Source organism: Homo sapiens, chromosome 1 (genome assembly GCF_000001405.40).
Source record: "Homo sapiens chromosome 1, GRCh38.p14 Primary Assembly".
NCBI classification, from domain to species: Eukaryota; Metazoa; Chordata; class Mammalia; order Primates; family Hominidae; genus Homo; species Homo sapiens.
Genome location: NC_000001.11, coordinates 212,850,638 through 212,873,664, shown reverse-complemented (window position 1 = coordinate 212,873,664; position 23,027 = coordinate 212,850,638). Strand labels below are relative to the sequence as shown.

General features: G+C 42.7%; 1 protein-coding gene, 1 long non-coding RNA gene and 1 pseudogene across 10 annotated transcripts in view, besides 5 other annotated features; 2 read left to right on the top strand and 1 right to left on the bottom strand.

Annotated features, from left to right (window-relative positions):
* The window catches only part of FLVCR1 (FLVCR choline and heme transporter 1), a 41,089-nt gene extending 25,699 nt beyond the window's left edge, over positions 1–15,390 (bottom strand). For 3 of the 8 annotated variants that reach the window (XR_247024.4, XR_007059232.1, NM_014053.4), the window contains exons 1-3: positions 14,475–15,390; positions 9,796–9,940; positions 847–987 (exon numbers count right to left, since the gene is read on the bottom strand). Coding sequence is in view for 3 of the 8 variants with exons in the window: in NM_014053.4 (NP_054772.1) it covers positions 847–987; positions 9,796–9,940; positions 14,475–15,212 (1,024 nt within the window). In the remaining 5 variants the exon portion in view is untranslated. Of the gene's footprint in view, positions 1–846; positions 988–3,480; positions 3,612–9,145; positions 9,273–9,795; positions 9,941–14,474 lie in introns of those variants that run through there. The other 5 variants (XM_011509447.3, XM_011509448.2, XR_426771.2 and 2 more) reach the window with 5 other exon arrangements.
* Positions 9,721–10,220: an enhancer, noted in NCBI's record as "H3K4me1 hESC enhancer chr1:213036787-213037286 (GRCh37/hg19 assembly coordinates)". NCBI's record gives its function as "activates a minimal SCP1, AML or CMV promoter by ChIP-STARR-seq in primed H9 embryonic stem cells {active_cell/tissue: H9 hESC(primed)}" and the evidence as "EXISTENCE:reporter gene assay evidence [ECO:0000049][PMID:30033119]".
* Positions 10,221–10,722: an enhancer, noted in NCBI's record as "H3K4me1 hESC enhancer chr1:213036285-213036786 (GRCh37/hg19 assembly coordinates)". NCBI's record gives its function as "activates a minimal SCP1, AML or CMV promoter by ChIP-STARR-seq in primed H9 embryonic stem cells {active_cell/tissue: H9 hESC(primed)}" and the evidence as "EXISTENCE:reporter gene assay evidence [ECO:0000049][PMID:30033119]".
* Positions 14,940–15,149: a silencer, noted in NCBI's record as "silent region_1807". NCBI's record gives its function as "represses an Ori minimal core promoter by ATAC-STARR-seq in GM12878 lymphoblastoid cells {active_cell/tissue: GM12878}" and the evidence as "EXISTENCE:reporter gene assay evidence [ECO:0000049][PMID:35858748]".
* Positions 15,230–15,289: a silencer, noted in NCBI's record as "silent region_1806". NCBI's record gives its function as "represses an Ori minimal core promoter by ATAC-STARR-seq in GM12878 lymphoblastoid cells {active_cell/tissue: GM12878}" and the evidence as "EXISTENCE:reporter gene assay evidence [ECO:0000049][PMID:35858748]".
* On the top strand, positions 15,527–17,061 carry FLVCR1-DT (FLVCR1 divergent transcript). Of its 2 annotated transcripts, none has more exons than NR_027286.1 (2): positions 15,527–15,899; positions 16,747–17,061. It is a non-coding gene; the product is annotated as an FLVCR1 divergent transcript (long non-coding RNA). The 2 variants fall into 2 exon arrangements; NR_027285.1 differs by having other exon boundaries at positions 16,493–17,061.
* RPS28P2 (ribosomal protein S28 pseudogene 2) lies at positions 18,299–18,496 on the top strand (annotated as a pseudogene).
* Positions 21,090–21,677: an enhancer, noted in NCBI's record as "OCT4-NANOG hESC enhancer chr1:213025330-213025917 (GRCh37/hg19 assembly coordinates)". NCBI's record gives its function as "activates a minimal SCP1, AML or CMV promoter by ChIP-STARR-seq in naive H9 embryonic stem cells {active_cell/tissue: H9 hESC(naive)}" and the evidence as "EXISTENCE:reporter gene assay evidence [ECO:0000049][PMID:30033119]".

Below are 23,027 nucleotides of genomic sequence, written 5' to 3'. Positions count from 1 at the left end.
GAACCGTCAGAAAACTCTGAAGAAAACCAAGTGTGTTGGTGTCTGCAGTCAAAGCTACAGTGTCAGGATGAATATCTGTCAGCTATCCTGAAAGATGTGGAGAGAGAGAATTTTCTTAGATGTCAGAACTGGTTAAGGTGAGTTCCTTAATGTCCACTTTTGACTGAGTAATCAAAACAGATGCCAGCTTGCACAGTGTCAAAGAAAAGTATTGTTGATAGCATTTCCCACCTGCTTACATCAGGATAACTATAGTTCACAAATGGCCTAAAATACTCCATGAGAACTCACAAAAGAAGACCGAGTTTCTGTATTTGAGAACTACTTTTCTTTTCTTTCTTTTATTTTTTTTTTGAGATAGTCTCACTCTATTGCCCAGGCTGGAGTGCAGTGGCGCAATCTTGGCTCACTGCCACCTCTGCCTTCTAGGTTCAAGCGATTCTCCTGCCTCAGCCACCTGAGTAGCCGGGATTACAGGCGTGTGCCACCATGCCCAGCTGATTTTTGTATTTTTAGTAGAGATGGGGTTTCACCATGTTCACCATGCTAGTCCTGACATGCAACTCCTGACATCAAGTGATCCACATACCTCGGCCAACTCAAGTGCTGGGATTACCAGCATGAGCCATCATGCCTGGCCAAAAACTACCTTTTAAAAATTATTATTTTTAAAAATATGTAAGAAGATCCATCCTGGATTTTCTGCTTTTAGTTTAAGTTCATGATTATGCTGTAGAGTTAACAGGCCAATCTCATTGAAGTTCAAACCACTAGGTTAAATGAAAAGAATCCACAATGCTGAAAGGCTCACACAGACATTAAAGAAAGTACAAGAAAACCACTTACCATAAGTGATCAACAGAAGGACAAAAGGAATGTTTTTAAACAGGTTTCTTATTGATTTCTTATAGGAGTACTCTTCAGGGGGACTGTCTTGAAGAGCTGCTTGAGCCTGACTTGGTGGATACCGAGGTTTTTCTTTGAAGGCTGAGAATATACACGAAAAGGATTATGTATATTTAATATATATACAATATGTTGTTATATATTACAATATGTAATTATATGTATCATTCTTAGTGAGCAGACAGAATACAGTTTAAGTTTAAAGAGGTATATAAGTCTTTTATGGTAAGGGTTTTCATTTTCACTGATTTCTAAGTGAAGAATAGTTTAACACTGTCATCTCAGTTCTCTGAAACTGACTAAAACTCAGAGATATGGCCAATTCATATAAGTGAACTGCAAAACCATCAATAATATGCCACAACCTTGCCTACTGATTATTCTATTTTTACCTAAGAAAGACTAATTTTTACTACATTAAATATTCAACAATTCTACTTTTAAATTCAGTTCAATTTGTAATTAGAGATAAACATGAAGGCTGGGCACAGTGGCTCATGCCTGTAATCCCAGCTCTTTGGGAGGTTGAAGGGGGAAGAACCCTTGAGCCTGGGAGGTCAAGGCTGCAGTGAGCTGTGACTGCGCCATTGCACTCCAGCCTGGGCAACAGAGCAGGACCCTGTCTCAAAACAAAAAAAAAGGAAAATAAAAGAAATAAAAAATCAGATATGAGGAAGCCAATATACTATTGAACTTTTAAAAGACTTGAGTTAGTAACCATTTTCTTCTGAAATGTGATATAAAGTTTATCATCTGATCCAACTGCACCTCTGGGATTGAAAAACTCCAGGTAGATTCATGGAAGCAGAGCTAGGTCTTGCTAACTCACTTGAGCTTCATATGGAAAGTACAGGGGTAGAGCTAAGAGACATAAAAGTGTGGTGGTATATGGTGTCTGACACTCTAAGTTTTAGCGCTATCCATTTCTAGTTAGAAATTTCACAGCCACCCCAGGCAGACAACATCTAGAGACCACCTTTTTGCTGTGCAGGAAAGATCGACCAACTTTCCATAAAAGATGACTAGAGAGAGATTTCTTTAGGGTTAGGCTAACCAGAAGTCAAGACTAATTCACAGGTCAGGCATGGTGCTCACTTTTGTAATCTCAGCACTTTGGGAGGTCAAAGTGGGTCCATCACTTGTACAAGACTGTCTCTAGAAAAAAATTGTTTAAACTAGCTATGCATGGCAGCATGCACCTGTAATCCTAGCTACTTGCGAGGCTGAAGCGAGAGGATCGCTTCAGGATCGCTTCACTGAGCCCAGGAATACAGGCTGCAGTGAGCTGGGATCATATCACTACACTCTAGCCTAGGTGATAAAGCAAGACCTTGTCTGTAAAAAACAAACAAAAAACACAAAAAACTATTTACAGAAGGGCTGAACTGCTAAAATATGGTACAGCAGAAATTAAAATCTAGACTTTGTATTGACTCAAAACTTTAAACTCTCTCAAAATTGTTAATTACAATAGAAGGAAAATACTGTACTTCATTGAATCTAAGATACTCTAATACTTGCAGTCAATGATCTTGCCAGGTATCAATAGAAGGTTTTCACATAACCATATCTCAATTACCACAAATGTTAGATGCCACTGATTATTAAAGGCATCTTGATTTCAGAGATTTCATGAAAAAGGTATACCTCAAGATTGATGAAACAGGGTAAATTCAAAAAGAAAAAAGAAGCCCGGCACAGTGGCTCACACCTGTAATCCCAGCACTTTGGGAGGCCGAGGCAGGTGGATCATGTGAGGTCAGGAGTTCGAGACCAGCCTGGCCAACATGGTGAAACCCCGTCTCTACAAAAAATTACAAAAATTAGCCAGGCATTAATGGTGGCACATGCCTGTAGTTACAGCTACTTAGGAGGCTGAGGCAGGAATTGCTCAAACCCAGGAGGTGGAGGTTGCAGTGAGCTGAGATTGTGCTACTGCACTCCAGCCGGGGCAACGGAGTGAGACTATCTCAAAAAACAAAACAAACAAAAAGAAACAGAAAGAAAAAAGAAGGTAAATGGATTCAGTAAATAATATTGTTTAGGAATTTTTTTTAGAAATTAGGATTTTTCTGCCATTCTCAGCCAGACAGCAAGAAAAAAAATTTTTTTTAATAGAAATTAGGATTTTTTTTTAATTGGCTATTTCTTTCTTCCAACAAGGAAGACCTGCTTTGTGTTTGAAAGAGGGTTAGATCTGATGGACCTAGCAACTGGAATCATTTGGAAATTAAAAATAATACAGATTTTGAGATTCTACCCAAGGCTCAATGAATCAGAAACTCCAGGATGAAGCCAAAGAAACTGTTTTAAACACGAAACTCCCCAAATGCTTTTGAAAACCAGCCAGGGAGAAACAATCACTGGGAAAGTAAGAAATGACCCTTAAAATTTCCATGAAATACTACAATTCTCTAATTTTCCTGTTTGCTGCTAAAAATTTTTTAAATTACAGTTCATTGCTGACCAACACATTAACTGTGATATAACTAAAACTTATCAAACTAAAATATACTTTTCTTTTTACAGATCTTACAACTAATTAAAGAGGAGATATAACTCATAAATATTTACTTTTTAATATCCTTACATTGGAAGGCTGGTACACATAAAAGGTTTAAGTTGCAAATCCTCCTCTTCCTTTCATTCTATCTGATCTTGTACTGTTAGGATGTCTGTTGTCTTTTCCTGAGTCTCTTTGTATCCTAATCAGATAGGAAATATCTCTTCTTACTAAGATTGGTAATGCAGAACTCACATAGTTATAAAACAAAGTTTCAGAAAATAAAAACTATGCTTACAAGGTAGTCATGGGTATTTAATGAATCTTAAGTCTCTTACTTTTTTATTTACCATGGCAAAATAAATCTAAATGGCCCAAATCTGAACTGAAATGCAAAAATGAAAATATTTCTGACTTCTGGCTGGGCGCAGAGGCTCACGCCTCTAATCCCAACACTTTGGGAGGCCTGAGGCGGGCAACTCACCTGAGGTCAAGAGTTGGAGACCAGCCTGGCCAACATGGCAAAAACTTGTCTCTACTAAAAACACAAAAATTAGCCAGGGGTGGTGGGCACCTTAATCCCAGCTAGGAGGCTGAGGCAGGAGAATCACTTGAACCCAGGAGGCGGAGGTTGCTGTGAGCCAAGGTCGCACCACCGCACTCCAGCCTGGGCGACAGAGTGAAACTGTGTCTCAAAAATGAAAAGAAAAGAAAATACTTCTTACCAGTCTTTAAATCCATTACATTTATTTTTTGAATACAAGAGTTATCTGTTAGTTTCAGGAAGTCAAACTATCTTTTGGCAAAAATCAAGCCTGTATTTACCAGCTACATGTTGTAGGAAAGTCGAACTTAAGTCTACTTGAAGAAAGAGAAACAAAAAGCCATGGATCTATGGCCTTGTTTACACCTAACTGCTACTTTCAAAGGATGAAATATGGCTTCTTCTTTCTCCTTTGAAACAGAAAAATAATAGCTTTCTATTGTCTTCTCCCAACCAAAAATTTGCACCAATAAAACAACTGATTATTTGAAGCAGTTATTCTCCACTTCTGGTGTTAGTCTTATAAAGTAGCCAAAATATTCTCGAGCACCACATTCAAACTTTTCCTCCTGTGATGAATACGTTGCAAATCTATTGCTGTTTAGGGCTACTTTTACATTTTAAAACCGTATTTTAACATTTTTAAAATTTCGTTATTTGTCCCTGTGTGATTCAGGCATATATTACATATATTAGGTTATTATAAGACAAATAAATGTTTGAATCCTGGCTCTGCCTCAGCTCACTGTATGACTTTGAGGAAGTAAACTCCTGTCTCTCACCTTTACAGCTTTCTCATCGATAAAATGTAAATAACAATAGCAAGCTGTTATGAAGATTACATGATACAATATATGTAAAATAATTCTGTAATTATCAAGTGCAACACAAAAATATTGTCTTTTTTTGAGGAATATTTATTTAAAAAAATCAGAGACTGCCTCAGGAGTTTGAAATTCTTACAGACTAAGTTAAATGTATTTCTGTTAAGAGTATGCAGCCGGGCCAGGCATGGTGGTTCACGCCTATAATCCCAGCACTTTGGGAGGCCGAGACAAGCGGATCACCTGAGGTCAGGAGTTTGAATCCAGCCTGACCAACATGGAGAAACCCTGCCTCTACTAAAAATACAAAATTAGCCGGGTGTGGTGGTGCACGCCTGTAATTCCAGCTACTCGGGAGGCTGAGCAGAATGGCTTGAATCCGGGAGGCAGAGGTTGCGGTGAGCGGAGATCGCGTCACTGCACTCCAGCCTGGGCAACAAGAGCTAAACTCTGTCTCAAAATAAAATAAAATAAAATAAAGTTTATAGATATCTTGAATTAAGAATCAAAAGCAGCTGGGCATGGTGGCTCATGCCTGTAATCCCAGCACTTTGGGAGCCCAAGGCAAGCTGGGAACAGCCTGGGCAACATGGTGAAACCCTGTCTACAAAAAATATAAAAAATAGCCAGGCATGATAGCACACACCTGTAGTCCCAGCTACTCAGAGGGCTGAGGTAGGAAGATTGCTTAAGGCTGGCCAGGAGATCAAGGGTGCAGTGAGCTGAGATTGTGCCACTGCACTCCAGCCTGGGTGACAGGGCGAGACCCCATCTCTTAAAAAAGAATTAAAAGTAAAATTATCACACCTGTAATCCCAGCACTTTGAGAGGCTGAGGTGGGCGAATCATGAGGTCAGGAGATCGAGACCATCCTGGCTAACACGGTGAAACCCCATCTCTACTAAAAATACAAAAAATTAGCCGGGCGCGGTGGTGGGTGCCTGTAGTCCCAGCTACTCAGGAGGCTGAGGCAGGAGAATGGTGTGAACCCGGGAGGCAGAGCTTGCAGTGAGCCAAGATCGCGCCACTGTACTCCTGCCTGGGTGAAAGAGCGAGACTCCATCTCAAAAAAAAAAAAAAAAAGTAAAATTATGCACACATTATATGCTTATGTGTTTAAGCATATTAATATTAAATATTTTTATTGTGATTACTTTTGGCTTCTGTCATCCACTCATTTTAGTGAATCAGGAAAGTATTTTAATTGACACATGAGTTAAATGACATAGTTTACTGCTCTGCTGCACAAGAACAGCTTTTAAATACAACAGCATTACCACTTATGCAAGAATCTGAATTCGAACAAAAAATAAGGCTCAGTAAAAATTAAAATGTTATTTTTTATCTGTAACTTTTATATAGGGAGTTAAATTGTCTAGGCTTAAATCTGACCTTCAGTGTTTACTATAACCTTGGACAAATTAGATTTAACTAAATTCTGTGCCTCAGTTTCCTTGTCTATAAAATGGGAATATTGGTACCCTCCTCACAGAGTCATGAGGATTAAATGAGATACAGCATGTAGTAAGCCTCCAAACATGTTTGGCACATACCAACAAACCAAATGTTTGAGGCTATAATAGAGTTCTCCTAATAGGAATAGGGTATTAGTGTGAAATTCAGTGGAATGCTTGGGTTAATTCCTGGAAACACTAGATGGATTATACTCAATATAAGCTCCATGAGGGAGAGGAACAGTTACATGGCATGAACCTTTGAGAAAATATTTTAAGCAGACTGCTGAGTATCAATTTAGTACATGTCACGTTGCGGAAAAATCTCAACAAAATTAAATTATTTTATGAGGACGTGGTGGGACTTCCAAAGTAAGTATGGATAGAATTCAGAGAGAAGTAAAATCACCTTTTAGTAATTAAGGAACTTTATTTGGTATGGATTTTTTTAAGTAATCCAAAGTTTGCTCAATAGCAAATATTTGGGAATGAGGAAAACAAGTATGTGTTCTATTTAAATGTCACAATTTTCAACTTAAGACTTTCATATCACAGCTGTATACTATCTTGCTTTTATAATATGCTTGGGATCATAAAATTAAAATTAGAGTCCTCCAAGCAAAAGTTGACAAAGAGCCTTTGTTTAATGCCATATTTCCCATTATTTTCCCCTCATTTCTATTTCCACTCTCTACCTGTAGGCCATGAGTACATAATTAGTTAAGTACATAATCAGATCTCTTTTAATTTCTCAAATAACAAAGGGTAATATGCCAATAGTCATACCTATTATTATCATTCTTGGTCTCCCTCCTTCAACAAGTAAAGATCTTTTATTTGTAGCAGTTTAAACATACACACATCACATGTATGATTTCGTGATATCTTACATGCAATCTCTTACTTTCTCACTTCTTTCTGAGACAAGCAATTGAAGAGGATTTAAAAAAAAAAAAAAAGGAAAATCAGAATTTATGTGAAGACACAAAAGTAATCAAAAGAAAGAGAATTTTGGCCGGGTGCAGTGGCTCACACCAGTAATCCCAGCCCTTTGGGAGGCCGAGGCAGGCAGATCATTTGAGGTCAGGAGTTCGAGACCAGACTGGCCAACATGGTGAAACCCCATCTCTACTAAAAACACACAAAAAAGGCCGGGCTCGGTGGCTCATGCCTGTAATTCCAGCACTTTGGGAGGCCAAGGCGGGCAGATCACCTGAGGTCAGAAGTTCGAGACCAGCCTGGCCAACATGGTGAAACCCCGTCTCTACTAAAAATACAAAAATTAGCCAGGCATGGTGGCACGCGCCTGTAATCTCAGCTACTTGGGAGGCTGAGGCACAAGAATCCCTTGAATGTGGGAGGCAGAGGTTGCAGTGAGTCGAAATTGCGCCACTGCACTCCAGCCTGGCTGACAGAGCAAGACTCTGTCTCAAAAAAAAAAAAAAAAAAAAACCAAACCCCAAAAATTAGCCAAATGCCTGTAATCCCAGGGAGGGAGGCTGAGGCACGAGAACTGCTTGAACCCAGGAGGCAGAGATTGCAGTGAGTCCAGATAGCGCCACTGCCCTCCAGCCTGGGTGACAGAGCGAGACTCCGTCTTGATAAAAAAAAAAAAAGAGAGAGAATTCTATACTTTAAAAATCCCTATTGCTGGCCGGGCCTGGTGGCTCATGCCTATAATCCCAGCACTTTGGGAGGTTGAGGCAGGTGGATCATTTGAGGTCAGGAGTTTGAGACCAACCTGACCAACATGGTGAAACCCTGTCTCTACTGAAAATACAAAAATTAGCTGGCATGGTGGTGCATGCCTGTAAGCCCAGCTGCTCGGGAGGCTGAGGCAGGAGAATCACTTGAACTTGGGAGGTAGAGGTTTCAGTGAGCTGAGATCATGCCACTGCACTCCAGCCTGGGTGACAGAGCGAGACTCTGTCTCAAAAAAAAAAAAAAATCCCTATTGCAAATGGAAGGTCCATTTATGCAAAATGTATTTCCTATTTCATCTAGCAAATCAAACATGGCTACCAGAAAAGCAGACTTAAGAATTGTGGTGTTTTTACCGCATGCTCTCACTCATAGGTGGGAACTGAACAATGAGAACACATGGACACTGGAAGGGGAACATCACACACCGGGACCTATTGTGGGATGGGGGGTGGGGGGAGGGATAGCATTAGGAGATATACCTAATGTAAATGACGAGTTAATGGGTGCAGCACACCAACATGGCACATGTATACATATGTAACAAACCTGCACGTTGTGCACATGTACCCTAAAACTTATAATAAAAAAAAAAAGAATTTTGGTGTTTTTTTTTTAAGAATACAAATTTCTTTTAAAACTTTGCTAAACTGCTAAAATAGGATAGGAATAATGTGTCCTTCTTAGTAGTCTGCACATCACAAATATGCCACTCCATAACTAACTGAAAACCAAAACCAACAAGTGGATTACACATGTTTGAATACTTCATATGTTACCAAGAGAACATTCTGCTCATTATATTAAGGGAAATTAAGTATGTGGGCTGAGCTTCCTGTACCTGGATCCTGCAGTTCATCTACCAAGGCAGTCTCTACCCAAACACTCTAGAATCTTCAGCATACATTTCTTTGAAAACTAAGAATTTTATATCTGGAGATCACAAAATATGAATTTTCCATTACTATTATAGCCATTGTAAAAACTAGTATATAAATTTAAAACTCCAGCTATAATGAAATTATAAATTTGAATGATTAAAAGATGGCATTTCAACTTTATTAGTTCTTTTCCTCTTCAAATCAATTTCAGATGAGTGCCTAAAGGGCAATATTATAGTTATGCTAGCAGCTATATTACTTAAATAAACCTTACCTATCCTTTTCCCTGAAATCAAAAGTTTCCCATTAAAAATAAACTTTAAAAAGCAGACCTTCCCAAAGCTTCTTCCAAACTGATGATGGCTGCTTGCAGTTGATTTTGACTGACTGCTTCAAGAGACAGGCTCAGACGAGAGGACTCAGTGACGAGTGGTGGCAGCCGTGCTTTGCTGGAGTGGCCTAACAAGTAGATAGTTGCCACAGTTTGAAATTCTGCTGAACAGCTTGCTGCTGCCCAGGACCATTCACTAGTCAACATTTTCAGATCCAGTTAATTGTTAAATTGGAAAGCCTTGGGAGAATTTAGCATTACCAGAAAGACCATAGCCTACGTGCATCACTTCAAAGCATGGCAAGAACTTGTTCCTGGCTAGGTAGGCATAAGAGGCATAAGATGCAGACCATGTAGGCGAATATGGGAAGAGGAGGCAGGTAATATATTTGAAACCAACAGTTACCAAGAAGAAAAGTTAGTAGAGGGATAAATGAATTAGTCTTCAAACCCTTCACAATGTGAAAATAAATGTAGTGGGCCATAACATCCCTAGGGTTGTAGCATTCATTACCTGAGCAAGACAGGGCATGGAAGAATGAAACAAAGCACATGACACTTGAGATATTATCAACAAAAATTTCCAGAGTTAGTTATTCTCAAATTTCTATCATGCATTCATTTAAGCTTTAGGGAAAGTAATTCACTTACCAATTGCTGTTAAAATAAATAAAAGTGTGGCAACAGCTGATGTTCCATAAAACATGGTGCTGATATTACAAGCCAGGAGATTTGTGTCATTCTGTGTGTTGGGTACTAAAACTGGTGGTAGCAAAAAGCCAACTGCAGTTCCAAGCTGAAAAACACATAGTCCTGTTAACAGCTATTATCATTAGAGAAAAAAGTAAATGCTGGCAATTAACAGAACATAAAGAGGACAGCTAGTGTTTATAAAGGTGCTTTGAAAATTAAACTATTATGTTCTTTTTTTTTTTTTTGAGACAAAGTCTGTCTCCCAGGCTGGAGTGCAGTGACGCAATCTTGGCTCACTGCAACCTCTCCCTCCCAGGTTCAAGCAATTCTCCTGCCTCAGCCTCCTGAGTAGCTGGGATTACAGGCGCGCGCCACAACGCCCAGCTAATTTTTGTATTTTAGTACAGACGGGGTTTCACCATGTTGGTCAGGCTGGTGTCGAACTCCTGACCTCATGATCCGCCCGCCTCGGCCTCCCAAAGTGCTGGGATTACAGGCGTGAGCCACTGCACCCAGCCTAAACTACTATGCTCTAATGTCTTTTTTACTATTGTATTGTTAAAGGGAAATTGCTCACCAATATCTCTCCTATCCAAAAAACATTTACTGAGTTCCTACCATCTGAGTGATGCTGCTATTATAAAGCTGTGTAATATACAGTCCTTGCCCTGCAGATGCTTACAAAAGGGGAATAAGAATATGCAAAATAAGGCTGACAAAAGATGACCTACAGAATCAGAAAAATTTGTAAATTATATATCTGATCAGGGTATAGCTTCCAGAATATATAAAGAACTATTACAGCTCAACAACAAAAAAGCAATATCCCAATTTTAAAATGGGCAAAAGACTTGAATAGACATTTCTCCAAAGAAGATATACAAATGGTCAATAAGCATTTGAAAACATGCCCGAATCAAAACCATAAGATACCACTCCACACCAGGTAGCATGGCTACTATAATAACAATAATAGCAATATAAAAGTGTTGGCAAGAATGTGGAAAAATTGGAACCCTTGAATACGGCTGGTGGGACTATAAAATGGTGCAGCCACTGCAGACAAGTTTGGCAGTTCCTTAATAAGTTTAACATAGAATTACCATATGACCTAGCAATTCTACTCCTAGGTATATGTCCCCAAAACTGAAAACAGAAATTCAAACAAATAATTACATATGAATGTTCACAGCAGCCCTATTCACATTACCACAATAACCAAAAGGTGAAAATAACCCAAACATTTATCAACAGATAAATGGATAAACAAAATGTGGTATATTCATACAATGAAATATTATTCAGCTATTAAAAAGGAATGAAGTACTGATACAGTGCTACAACATGGATGAACTTTGCAAATAAGCTAAGTGAAAGAAGCCAGACACAAAAGGTCACCTACTGTATGATTCCATTTATATGAAATATCCAGAACAGGTCAATCCACAGAAAGAGAAGGGAAACTAGTACTTGCCACAGGCTAGGGGAGGGGGCAATGGTGGGGAAGTGACTGTTTAGTAGGTATTGGGCCTTCTTTGCGGGTGGATAAAAATGTTTTGAAACTAGACAGAAGTAACAGTTGCACAACACTGTAAATGTACTAAACGCCACTGAATTGTACACATTAAAATGGTTAGTTTTATTTATGTGAATTTTACCTCAACAAAAAATATGGCTAAATATCATAATCACAAGAAATAAAATCAAACTATTAGGAGGTTCAATGGAGGAAGGTTTTTAGGAGGAAGATTTTTAGGAGGAAGGGCGTGAGGAGGAAGGGCCCAAGAAAGGAGTCTGAGGCAGAGATAGTCACACTTATCAAATATTTCATTTGCTCCCTTACAAAAAGCTAGATAGAGGCCAGGCGCGGTGGCTCACACCTGTAATCCCAGCACTTTGGGAGGCCGAGGTGGGGGGATCACGAGGTCAGGAGATCGAGACCATCCTGGCTAACATGGTGAAACCCAGTCTCTACTAAAAAATACAAAAAATTAGCCGGGTGTGGAGGCGGGTGCCTGTAGTCCCAGCTACACGGGAGGCTGAGGCAGGAGAATGGCATGAACCCGGGAGGCAGAGCTTGCAGTGAGCCAAGATCGCGCCACTGCACTCCAGCCTGGGGGACAGAGCAAGACTCCATCTCAAAATAAATAAATAAATAAATAAAAATAAAACAAAAAGCTAGATAGAAAGAATATAACTGGTAATTACAAGAGAGGGTGGTAATACAGTACTGTGATTGAGACGTAAACAGTGCCAAGACTGGGGAGACCACGTAATTTACTATCCATCTAGAATACTCTTCAGAATGAAAGGGACTTCATTAGTAATCATACCAGACAACAGGTGTACCACCTGGACTATCCCAAGCAAACTGGGACATATGATCATGGTAGCTAAGAGAGTACTTTGGGGGAGCACCTTATATAGAAATATTATTCAGCTATCAAAAAGAATGAAAAGAAATGGGGTTCAGAAAAAGTTCCTGGAGGAGCAAAGATCTGAATAAGAAATTGGAGTTAGTCAAGTGAAGAAATATTCCAAGCCAACAGGACATTACATACAAGGCCAGGAGGGAAAGGGCACGACCTTGTGAGAAACTATAAGTAGGCATAGTTCTGCACAGAGCAGAGAAAGCATATGTCTGTGGGGACAGGGGTTGTGCATACAGATAAAGTGGAAGGGCTGGCAGGAGGCAGATCTGGAGGGTCCCATATGTCACACTAGAGTGTTTGAATTTTATCCTAAGGACAATGGAAGCCACTGCAGGGGGTAAGGATGTGCCCGGAACAGATTTGCACATTGTAAAAGACCACGCTGGATGAATGCGAGAACAGAGGGAAGACAGCAAGGGCTACAGATAGGGAGGACAGTTAGCAAGCTCTAGGTGAGAGCTGTGGGTGGCCCAAACCAAGACAGTGGCATTAGAGATAAAGGGAAATGAGCAAGGAGAAAGCAATTTTGAGTGGTGTGTTCCCATGAGATATCCAAGTAGACTATCCAGCTGGCCAGTATCTGTATGAGTCTGAAGCTCCTTTATTTATTCAACATGGTTTTATGGAGAGTAATAAATGCTGGTGATACAGCTGTGTACATTCAGACCACATTCCTATTTTCATGAAACTTACAATCTAATGGTGGGGATAAGAGAAAAGTAATAGGTAAGTAACATATGAACATGTAAACAATAACATATGAGACAGGGATGAGTGCTATAAGGAGAATTAAAGTAAAATAATGTAAAGAGAGTGACTGGGCAACTCTAAATGGGATCAAGAAATGCTACTGAATATTTAAAAATGAATTTAAACTGAGAGATGTGTGACAAAGAAAATGTAATCATGGCCGGGCGTGGTGGTTCACACCTGTAATCCCAGCACTTCGGGAGGCAGAGGTGGGCAGAGAGCTTGAGCTCAGCAGTTCGAGACAAGCATGAGCAACATGGAGAAACCCCATTTCTACAAAAAAAAAAAAAAAAAACCACACACACAAAAAACTTTATAATAGCTTCTGTCCAAACCTGCAGATGCAACCAACTCAAGTATCAGTCATAAATTATTTTGGACAAACAACTATAGTTCAACCTACTCCATCTTCTGTACTTTTAGATAAGGGAAATGACTATAAAGCAATAAGCATGTAGATTCTCATGCCTTGGCCACCTGAGTAGCTGGAATTACAGGCATGCACCACACCATGCCCCACTAATTTTTGTGTATTTGGTTTTGCCATGTTGGCCAGGCTGGTCTCAGACTCCTGGCCTCAAGTGATCCGCCTGCCTCAGCCTCCCAAAGTGCTGAGATTACAGGCGTGAGCCACCACGCCCAGCCCAGAACTTTTGGTTAGCAGTCATTTATGTGTCCCTTATGTGCCAGGAACTGTGCTGACTGCTAATATATGAAATTAAAAGGGAGCTGTTCACAATGACCTCTCAAAATGGAAACAATCTTCCCAGAACCCAATACCTTCCTTTCACAAATACACTGGTGACAAAAATAATACCCCAAGTCTTGTTCGTTACTGCATTGACAAATTTTCCATGTTAGGCATACACAAGCCAATACAGTTAATTATTATTATTATTATTATGGTTACAGTTTATTATTATTATTTGAGACAGAGTCTCACTCTGTCACCCAAGCTGGAGTGCAAAGGTGCAATCTCCGCTCACTGCAACCTCCACCTCCCGGGTTCAAGAGATTCTCCTGCCTCAGCCTCCTGAGTTGCTGGGACTACAGATACCCGCAAGCAGGCCTGGCTAATTTCTGTATTTTTAACAGAGACGGGGTTTCCCCATGTTGCCCAGGCTGGTCTGGAACTCCTGACTTGAAGTGATCCACCCACCTCGGCCTCCCAAAGTGCTGGGATTACAGGTGTGTGCCACCGCGCCCGGCCCAGTTAATTATTTTATAGGTAATTTTCAAAGCAAGATGACAAGGTCGTTTGGAAAATTTTGTCCTTACAAAGAAATTTATAGCCCACTTCAATCCAAGACGGCCTCCTATTCAACGGCTTCATCTCCTCTTTTATAGACAAATACCTCCTGGGGCAGTTCATCCATACAGGCCATAGTTCTCACGGCCTATGACTTTTTCCGGTCTTTTAAGGATCTGACTTTCACCTACCACTCCAGTACTTACCTGATTGCCCAGCACGGCGGTGGCACAAGCTGTGGACACCTCTTTGGGCCCAAACCACACTGAGGCGATGCGGGAGGGCAAGCCCAGGATGAACACCTGGGCCACCGAGCACAAGCACTGGCCCAACATGGTGACCCAGAAGAGATGCTGCTGCACACTGCCGCACTTGATCCAGGCACCCAGGCAGTTGAGGCCGGAGCCCAGCAGGGCGGTGAGCCGCAGGCCTCTGGTGTCCAGCAGCCAGGTGGCCGGGAAGATGAGGGGCACGTAGGCCAGCATGTACACCATGGACAGCCAGTCGATGTGCAGCAAGGTGACACCGTAGAAGCCCTCGAAGACGTTGCTAATGATGCTGTACTGGATCCACTGAAAGGCGTTGACCAGCGAGTACAGGCTGAAGATCAGGAGCACCACGAAGCGCCGCGGGGAGAGCGCCGTAAGGGGCAGCGGGCTGCTCTCGGCCCCCGGGGTCTCAGCTCCCGCGCCCGCAGGCAGCAGCCGGGCCTGGGTCTCCTCTTCTGGGGCCAGTGGAGTCTGAGGCCCGCCCAGAACTCCCGAGGCGGCAGCGAGGCTGTCCCGGGGGGCCCCATTCACCGGGAAGGTGCCCGCTTTGGGCCCGTTCTGCAGCTCCACGCTCTCCTTCCCAACGGGCGCGCCCCTCGGCAACGGGAGGTATCCTTTCGCGAGCGGGTGTCCGGGCGCCACCGCCGCCCCCTCCTCATCGTCTGGCCGCGCCATATCCCAGGCTCCCCGGCGCCACCTCGCTCCCCCGCCCCACTCCCCGACTCCGCTCTCCCGGCCCACAGCCCGAGGTCCTCCTGGGGCCCCACCTCCAACCCCTCGGCCCACCGCTCCTTCCCCGGTGGCGCGCGCCGCGAACCGCAATCCGCGCTACCGCGTGAACAGATGAAGGTCTCCTCCCCCGCGCCGCGCGGCAGTCACCCCTTGTCTGGTCCCGCCCCTAGAGTCGCGCGTCCTGCATGACTACGGCCCTCCGGCCAATCAGCGTGCGCCTTTGTCCGGCGCGAGAGCCAGTCGGGGAGCTACCGGGCGAGAACTTCGGGAGGCGGGGGAGGAAAGCGGCCGGCGAGCGCTGGCTGACATTTTCCTGCCCGGAAGGATGCATGGCCCGGGGTCTCCTGCACCTGAGGGTGGGCGGGAGGCGGCCCCGCGGGTTGTGTTGCTGGAAAAAGGGGTCTCGATCCAGACCCCAAGAGAGGGTTCTTGGGTCTACTTCAGGGAAGAATTGGAGGCGAGTCACAGAGCGCAGTGAAGGAAGCAAGTTTATTGGAATCTACTCCGTTAGAGAGTGCAAGTCCTCAGACTGCAGGAGGAGGAACTCCCGTCCTTCGGTAGTGTCACTACTTAGAGGCAGCTGTGAGGAGCTGTGATTAATCGTGGAATGTGCTGATGTGCCCACTAAAGGTAGGGGCTGTTGGTGCACTAATGACCATTAATCCTTCAACCTAAGCCTGCGCATTGACGTTATCTCTGAGTAGAGGGCTGGGCCGGGCTCGGTGGCCACGTCTGTAATCCCAGCACTGTGGGAGGCCGGACAGGAGTCTCCCTTGAGCCCAGGAGTTCGAGACCAGCCTGGGCAACATACTGAGATGCCATCTATTTAAAAAAAAAAAAAAAAAAAAAAAAGCCAGTAGCCAGGCGTGGTGGTGCATGCCTGTAGTCCCAGCTACTCAGGAGGCTGAGGCAGGAGAACTACTTGAACCTGGGAGGCGGAGGTTGCAGTGAGCTGAGATCGCACCACACTGCCCTCCAGCCTAGCCTGGGCGACAAAGTGAGACCTTGTCTAAAAAAAAAAAAAAAACTCAGGACATCTGGACAATTCCGCAGACTTGGTGGGAGATGTCCTGTATGGCCATAAATATTGTGTAATTATAATTGTTGGTCAGCTTAGAATGCGGCTATTTTCAGACCTTTAGCATTAACCTTATAGGTGCCTTGTGAGTGCCTAGTTACTCACTTTAACATGCAGTCGCTCTAGCCATGTTTTATTAAACCAGATGCCTGGTAAGCAGTGGCTCCTCTAACAAGTGGGCAGCTTGGAACTGGGAACGAGAGAGCCACCGAAACAGAATGAGGGAGACAAAGAAGTGGGCATCACCCTTAACTCCACAAGGGCTTCCCAAGGGCGCTGTACCGTACGCAGGCCCAGGACGAACTTTATTTCTCGCCCCAGCATCGCTGTCCTTGTCGGTGAGACCCTGGCTTTAGGGCAGACAGGACCACGTTTCATAAGTTCATGCTGTCCCAGCAGAGGAATAACGCCAGAAAGTGTTCCAGTACAACCAGAGAAAGAGAGTCCATGAGAAATCTGCCCTTGTGAAGTTGGAATCCCCTCAACCTCACCCCGCTGACTTGAATGAAGCGACTGAGACGGGCTATGATGGAGCAGATCCGGTTGCTCGACCTTCTCCCTTGCACCAACACATGTAGTTAATAGTTACTGGACATGCATATTCAGTGGGTTCCAGGTACCAAACTTGTATTGAATGGTATGTGCCAGACACCGTCTTGAGATCTGGAGAATAAAAAAATAAAAAAATAAAAACGAGACATCCAGAGCACAGTAGCCTTGCGGTCTTCCTGGAACTAGAGAAAATTCAGCCCTTCTGCTCCTTGGGAAGCTATGTTTGGGAAAAAAAAAAAAAGAGAGAGAGAGAGACTCCAAAGAGTTTGTTATTAAATTTAAGTTCAAACTAGGTGTATATAGTACAAAAGTTCTTACCATGCATTTAATCTTAAAATGTGCTGATATCTAGAACCCTAAAACCCTGCACTTTTTTATTGCCTCTTACATTATTATTTTGGTCATGTATGAAATATATCAGGCATCTCTCGGTACAGGTGAAATGCTACATGTTCTAAACTAAGGAATAAGTGCATTATTATAATGTCTTCCTTGGCCAAACTGTATAAATCCCCCCCTCCGCCCGCCCCGGCCAACATCCCTTCCCTGCTTTTTTTTTTCTTTCTTTCCTAGTGCTTACCTTCACCTAAAATGTCCTATATTTTTACTTTTTTTTTCTGGTTATTTTCTTTCTTTCTTTTTTTTTTTGACAGTCTTGCTCTGTCACCCAGGCTGGAGTGCAGTGGCGCGATCTCGGCTCACTGCAACCTCCACCTCCCAGGTTCAAGCGATTCTTCTGCCTCAGCCTCCCGAGTAACTGGAACTACAGGCCCGCGCCATCATGCCTGGCTAATTTTTGTATTTTTCTTTAGTGGAGACAGGGTTTCACCATATTGGCCAGGCTGGTCTTGAACTCCTGACCTCGTGATCCGCCCGCCTCAGCCTCGCAAAGTGCTGGGATTACAGGCCTGAGCCACCGAGCCTGGCCTCTTTCTTTCTTTTCTTTCTTTCTCTCTCTCTTTCTTTCCTTCTCTCTCTCTCTCTCGGCTGACCACCAAGCCTGAGTACTTTTTGTATTTTTTGTAGAGATGGGGTTTTGCCACATTGCTCAGACTGGTCTCAACTGATCAGCTCACTTCGGCCTCCCAAAGTGCTAGGATTACAGGCATGAGCCATTGTGCTGGGCCTTTTTCTGGTTATTTTCTCCCTGCCCACTAGAATGTGAGTTCCATAAGGGCAGGGCTGAAAGTTTTGTTGCTTTTTGCTACCGCTACTATTTTTCAAGAATTTGTAACCAGTGTACTTTGTGCGAGTACCTAGCACATAGTAGCTGTTCAATAAATATTTACTGAGTACAGCTAATGAATACTGAATTACCGTGAATATTTTAAATAATTACTTGCTTTGTAAAGAAATCTATTTCTTCTCTCTGCCCAACTGCTGCTGCATCGCCATCACAGACACCAGCCATGTGCAGCCTATCTAGCTAGCCAGGGTCACCAAGGTCCTGGGCAGAACCAGCTCTCAGGGACAGTGCATGCGGGAATTTATGGAAGACACAAGCCACTCCATCATCCACAGTGTAAAAGACCCCATGCGCAAGGGCTATGTGCTCACCCTGTTGGAGTCAGAGCGAGAGGCCTGGAGGTTGCACTGAGCTTGGCTGCTCACTGGGTCTTGGATGTTGGGTTCGACCACTTGGTCCATGAGAATGCTGTGCCATGATCTGCTCCTTTATTTTATTTGCCAGCCGCACAGGAATTGAGATATGCATTTAAATAAAGTGTTTGTGTGCCAAATTAGAAAGAAAAGAAAGGAAAGAGACAAAGAAAGAAGAGAGAGAGAAAGAAAGAAAGAGAGAAAAAGAAAGGAAGGAAGGAAAAAAGGAGGGAGGAGAGAAGGAAGGAAATCTTTTTTTAAATTATTATTATTATTTTTTTTTTTTTTTTGAGACGGAGTTTCGCTCTTGTCACCCAGGCTGGAGTGCAGTGATGCGATCTCGGCTCACTGCAACCTCTGTTTCCGGGGTTCAAGCGATTCTCCCTCCTCAGCCTCTCAAGTAGCTGGGATTAAGGCGCCCACCACCACGTGAAATCTGTTTCTTAAAAAAAAAAAATCTTGGCCAGGTGCAGTGGCTTACGCCTGTAATCCCAGCACTTTAGGAGGCCGAGGCGGGTGGATCACGAGGTCAGGAGATCAAGACCATCCTGGCTAACACGGTGAAGCCCATCTCTACTAAAAATACAAAATATTAGCCGGGCATGGTGGTGGGCGCCTGTAGTCCCAGCTACTCGAGAGGCTGAGGCAGGAGAATAGCGTAAACCCAGGAGGTGGAGCTTGCAGTGAGCCGAGATCGCGCCACTGCACTCCAGCCTGGGCGATAGAGCGAGACTCCGTCTCAGAAAAAAACAAAAACAAAAACAAAAACAAAAAAAGTCTTGCAAACTTCCAGAAGGAAGGGAAGGAGGGAGTGAAATCTATTTCTTTCTCTTTTCCTTTTTCTTTTTTTGACACAGAGCTTTGCCCTTGGAGTCCAGGCTGGAGTGCAATGATGAAATCTCAGCTGACTGCAACTTCTGCCTCCCGGGTTCAAGTGATTCTCCTGCCTCAGCCTCCCAAGTAACTGAGATTACAGGTGCCCACACCCGGGTAATTTTTGTATTTTTAGTAGAGACAGGGTTTCTCCATGTCGGTCAGGCTGGTCTCGAACTCCTGACCTCAGGTGATCCACCTACCTCAGCCTCCCAAAGTGCTGGGGTTACAGGCATGAGCCACCGTGCCCGGCCACCATTCTAATTTCTTAATCTTGTCTTCTTTCTCTGGCTTCAGTGGTAGATATTTATTAACCAGTTTAAACATGAGTCATTATTTATATCAAATGTTTGGATGTATAACGTAAAATGAACCTTAATCTCTGTCAAAAAAGATACTACTGGGAGCATCGTTTGGCTGGGAGTCAAGATGAGATTGAGCTACTTTATGGGTGTGGAATGCCAAGTCAGAGAGATTTGAATAAGTAACACTTCAGCAATATGAGATCTGGACAGCATCCAGGAGCCAAGGTCCAAGATGCTAATAGGAGTGATGTAGCTGTCCCTGAACAAAGGTTTGCCACAGTTTACGAGCCTCAGAGGTTAAGATGCAAACCAGAACAATGCTATTGGATGTGCAATCCATGATGTTTCATGGGGAGGTGGGTAGATTTGGGCAACCTTGCCTTCAGTTTACTCCTACTAGCATCAGGCTCTGTCCACCTGATCAGCAGAGGCTATATGGTTCTATTTTGTGAAAAGATCAAGTTGGAAATGGAGGAGTAGAGGAGAAGGTTGGAAATCAGAATCCTCCCACATGTATTCTTCCCTCCATTGAGACATTTTATTTGTATATATTTATTCCTGAAAAAAAAAAAAAAAAAAGAGTCCCAGGATTTTTTCTCCTGTGTTTTTGTCTTGTTTCTTCTCGGTCCATGATGCCAGTTGAGGTCATCAGTACAGCGAAACCAAACTGGTGAGATGGGAACAAATTATTCTGTCACTTTTCTAGATCTTTTTATTTATTTTTTTATTTATTTTTTGAGATGGAGTCTCGCTCTTGTTGCCCAGTCTGGAGTGCAATGGCGAGCCTGGGTTCAAGACCAGCCTGGGTAACATGGCGAAACCCCTTCTCTACCAAAAAAATACAGTATTTAGCTGGGCCTGGTGCATGCCTGTAGTCCCAGCTACCTGAGAGGCTGAGGTGGGAAGATCGCTTGAGCCCAGGAGGTCAAGGCTGCAATGGGCTGAGATCACGCCACTCCAGCCTAGGCAACAGAGTGAGGCCTTGTCAAAAAAAAAAAAGAGAGAGAGAGAGATACAAGCCTTCAGAGACCCTCATATTAACTTCATGGTAAATCTGCCTCTGCTCACCCCTCCCACCTGTAGCAACTAATATCTTCATTTCCAGATTTACTCTGAAAAAACTGTGCAACTGCTTCACATGTTTCCTCTTGATTCACTAATTTGTAACTCACTTACTGAAACTCTGATGAAAGAATTGAGTCAAAAAATAAATAGACCTCCTTCCCAGCCCTGGCTTGTTCAGAGCATCTACTACAGAGGAGTCTTAAGGGTTTTGTATGCTTAGAGTTGAGAGACCAAATAGCTCCTGAAAACTGTAGCTAGAGGAAATGCCATATGGAGACAGGCCACAAGGAGAACTCAAGCCCCTGTAAACCAAAAATGAAATATTCTAAGCCCCCAATTTACTAAACAGATTCAACCTCCCACTTCAGCCTCCCAAATAGCTGGGATTACAGGCGCATGCAACCATGCCCGGCAAATTTTTGTGTTTTTTGTAGAGATGGGGTTTCGCCATGTTGGCCAGGCTGGTCTTGAACTCCTGACTTCAAGTGATCTGTCCACCTCACCCTCCCAAAGTGCTGGGATTAGTGAGCCACTGCAACAGCCCTCTAACACTTATTTCTGAAGTTTTTTTTCTTCCCTCCTTCTCGGAAGCCCCTTCCTCCCTCTCTTGTTGCCTTAAGGTACCTTCACCCTGGCTAGGCCCTATTGTTCTTTTATCGGTTTTTTGTTTGTTTCTTTAGCCTACATATGCTCTTCCACCTGGGTTATACAAATGCAAAGTACACCCTAGTTCCATGCTGGGCCTTATTATTAACAAGAACTTTCTGAATCTCTTAAGATGTAGTGAAAGCAGATATACATAAACTATGTTGAACTAAACTGTATTTTCTTTTTTTTATTTCACTTTAAAAATTTATTTTCATACCAAAAAAATCATTCAAAGACAGTATTAAAAAGGATGACAAAATACATAAAATTGGCAGATGTCTTACACTAAAATAAAGTTGGTTTTCCCAGATCTGAATGGTTTTATACTACTTGATATTCCCAATTGGTCCTGAAATAAACTCCATACCCTCCCTAATACTATCTGAATGGCACTAATATTTTACTATATTAATATTCGAATGGCGATTTGGAAGGGAGAGGTCTCACTCACAGGTATCTTCTTTTTTTTTTTTTTTTTTTTTTTTACTCCAATTTTTACTTTTCTTTTTTTTTTTTATTATACTTTAAGTTTTAGGGTACATGTGCACATTGTGCAGGTTAGTTACATATGTATACATGTGCCATGCTGGTGCGCTGCACCCACTAACTCGTCATCTAGCATTAGTTATATCTCCCAATGCTATCCCTCCCCCCTCCCCCCACCCCACCACAGTCCCCAGAGTGTGATATTCCCCTTCCTGTGTCCATGTGATCTCATTGTTCAATTCCCACCTATGAGTGAGAATATGCGGTGTTTGGTTTTTTGTTCTTGCGATAGTTTACTGAGAATGATGGTTTCCAGTTTCATCCATGTCCCTACAAAGGACAAAGACACAACATACCAGAATCTCTGGGACGCATTCAAAGCAGTGTGTAGAGGGAAATTTATAGCACTAAATGCCCACAAGAGAAAGCAGGAAAGATCCAAAATTGACACCCTAACATCACAATTAAAAGAACTAGAAAAGCAAGAGCAAACACATTGAAAAGCTAGCAGAAGGCAAGAAATAACTAAAATCAGAGCAGAACTGAAGGAAATAGAGACACAAAAAACCCTTCAAAAAATCAATGAATCCAGGAGCTGGTTTTCTGAAAGGATCAACAAAATTGATAGACCGCTAGCAAGACTAATAAAGAAAAAAAGAGAGAAGAATCAAATAGACACGATAAAAAATGATAAAGGGGATATCACCACCGTTCCCACAGAAATACAAACTACCATCAGAGAATACTACAAACACCTCTACACAAATAAACTAGAAAATCTAGAAGAAATGGATAAATTCCTCGACACATACACTCTCCCAAGACTAAACCAGGAAGAAGTTGAATCTCTGAATAGACCAATAACAGGAGCTGAAATTGTGGCAATAATCAATAGTTTACCAACCAAAAAGAGTCCAGGACCAGATGGATTCACAGCCGAATTCTACCAGAGGTACAAGGAGGAACTGGTACCATTCCTTCTGAAACTATTCCAATCAATAGAAAAAGAGGGAATCCTCCCTAACTCATTTTATGAGGCCAGCATCATTCTGATACCAAAGCCGGGCAGAGACACAACCAAAAAAGAGAATTTTAGACCAATATCCTTGATGAACATTGATGCAAAAATCCTCAATAAAATACTGGCAAACC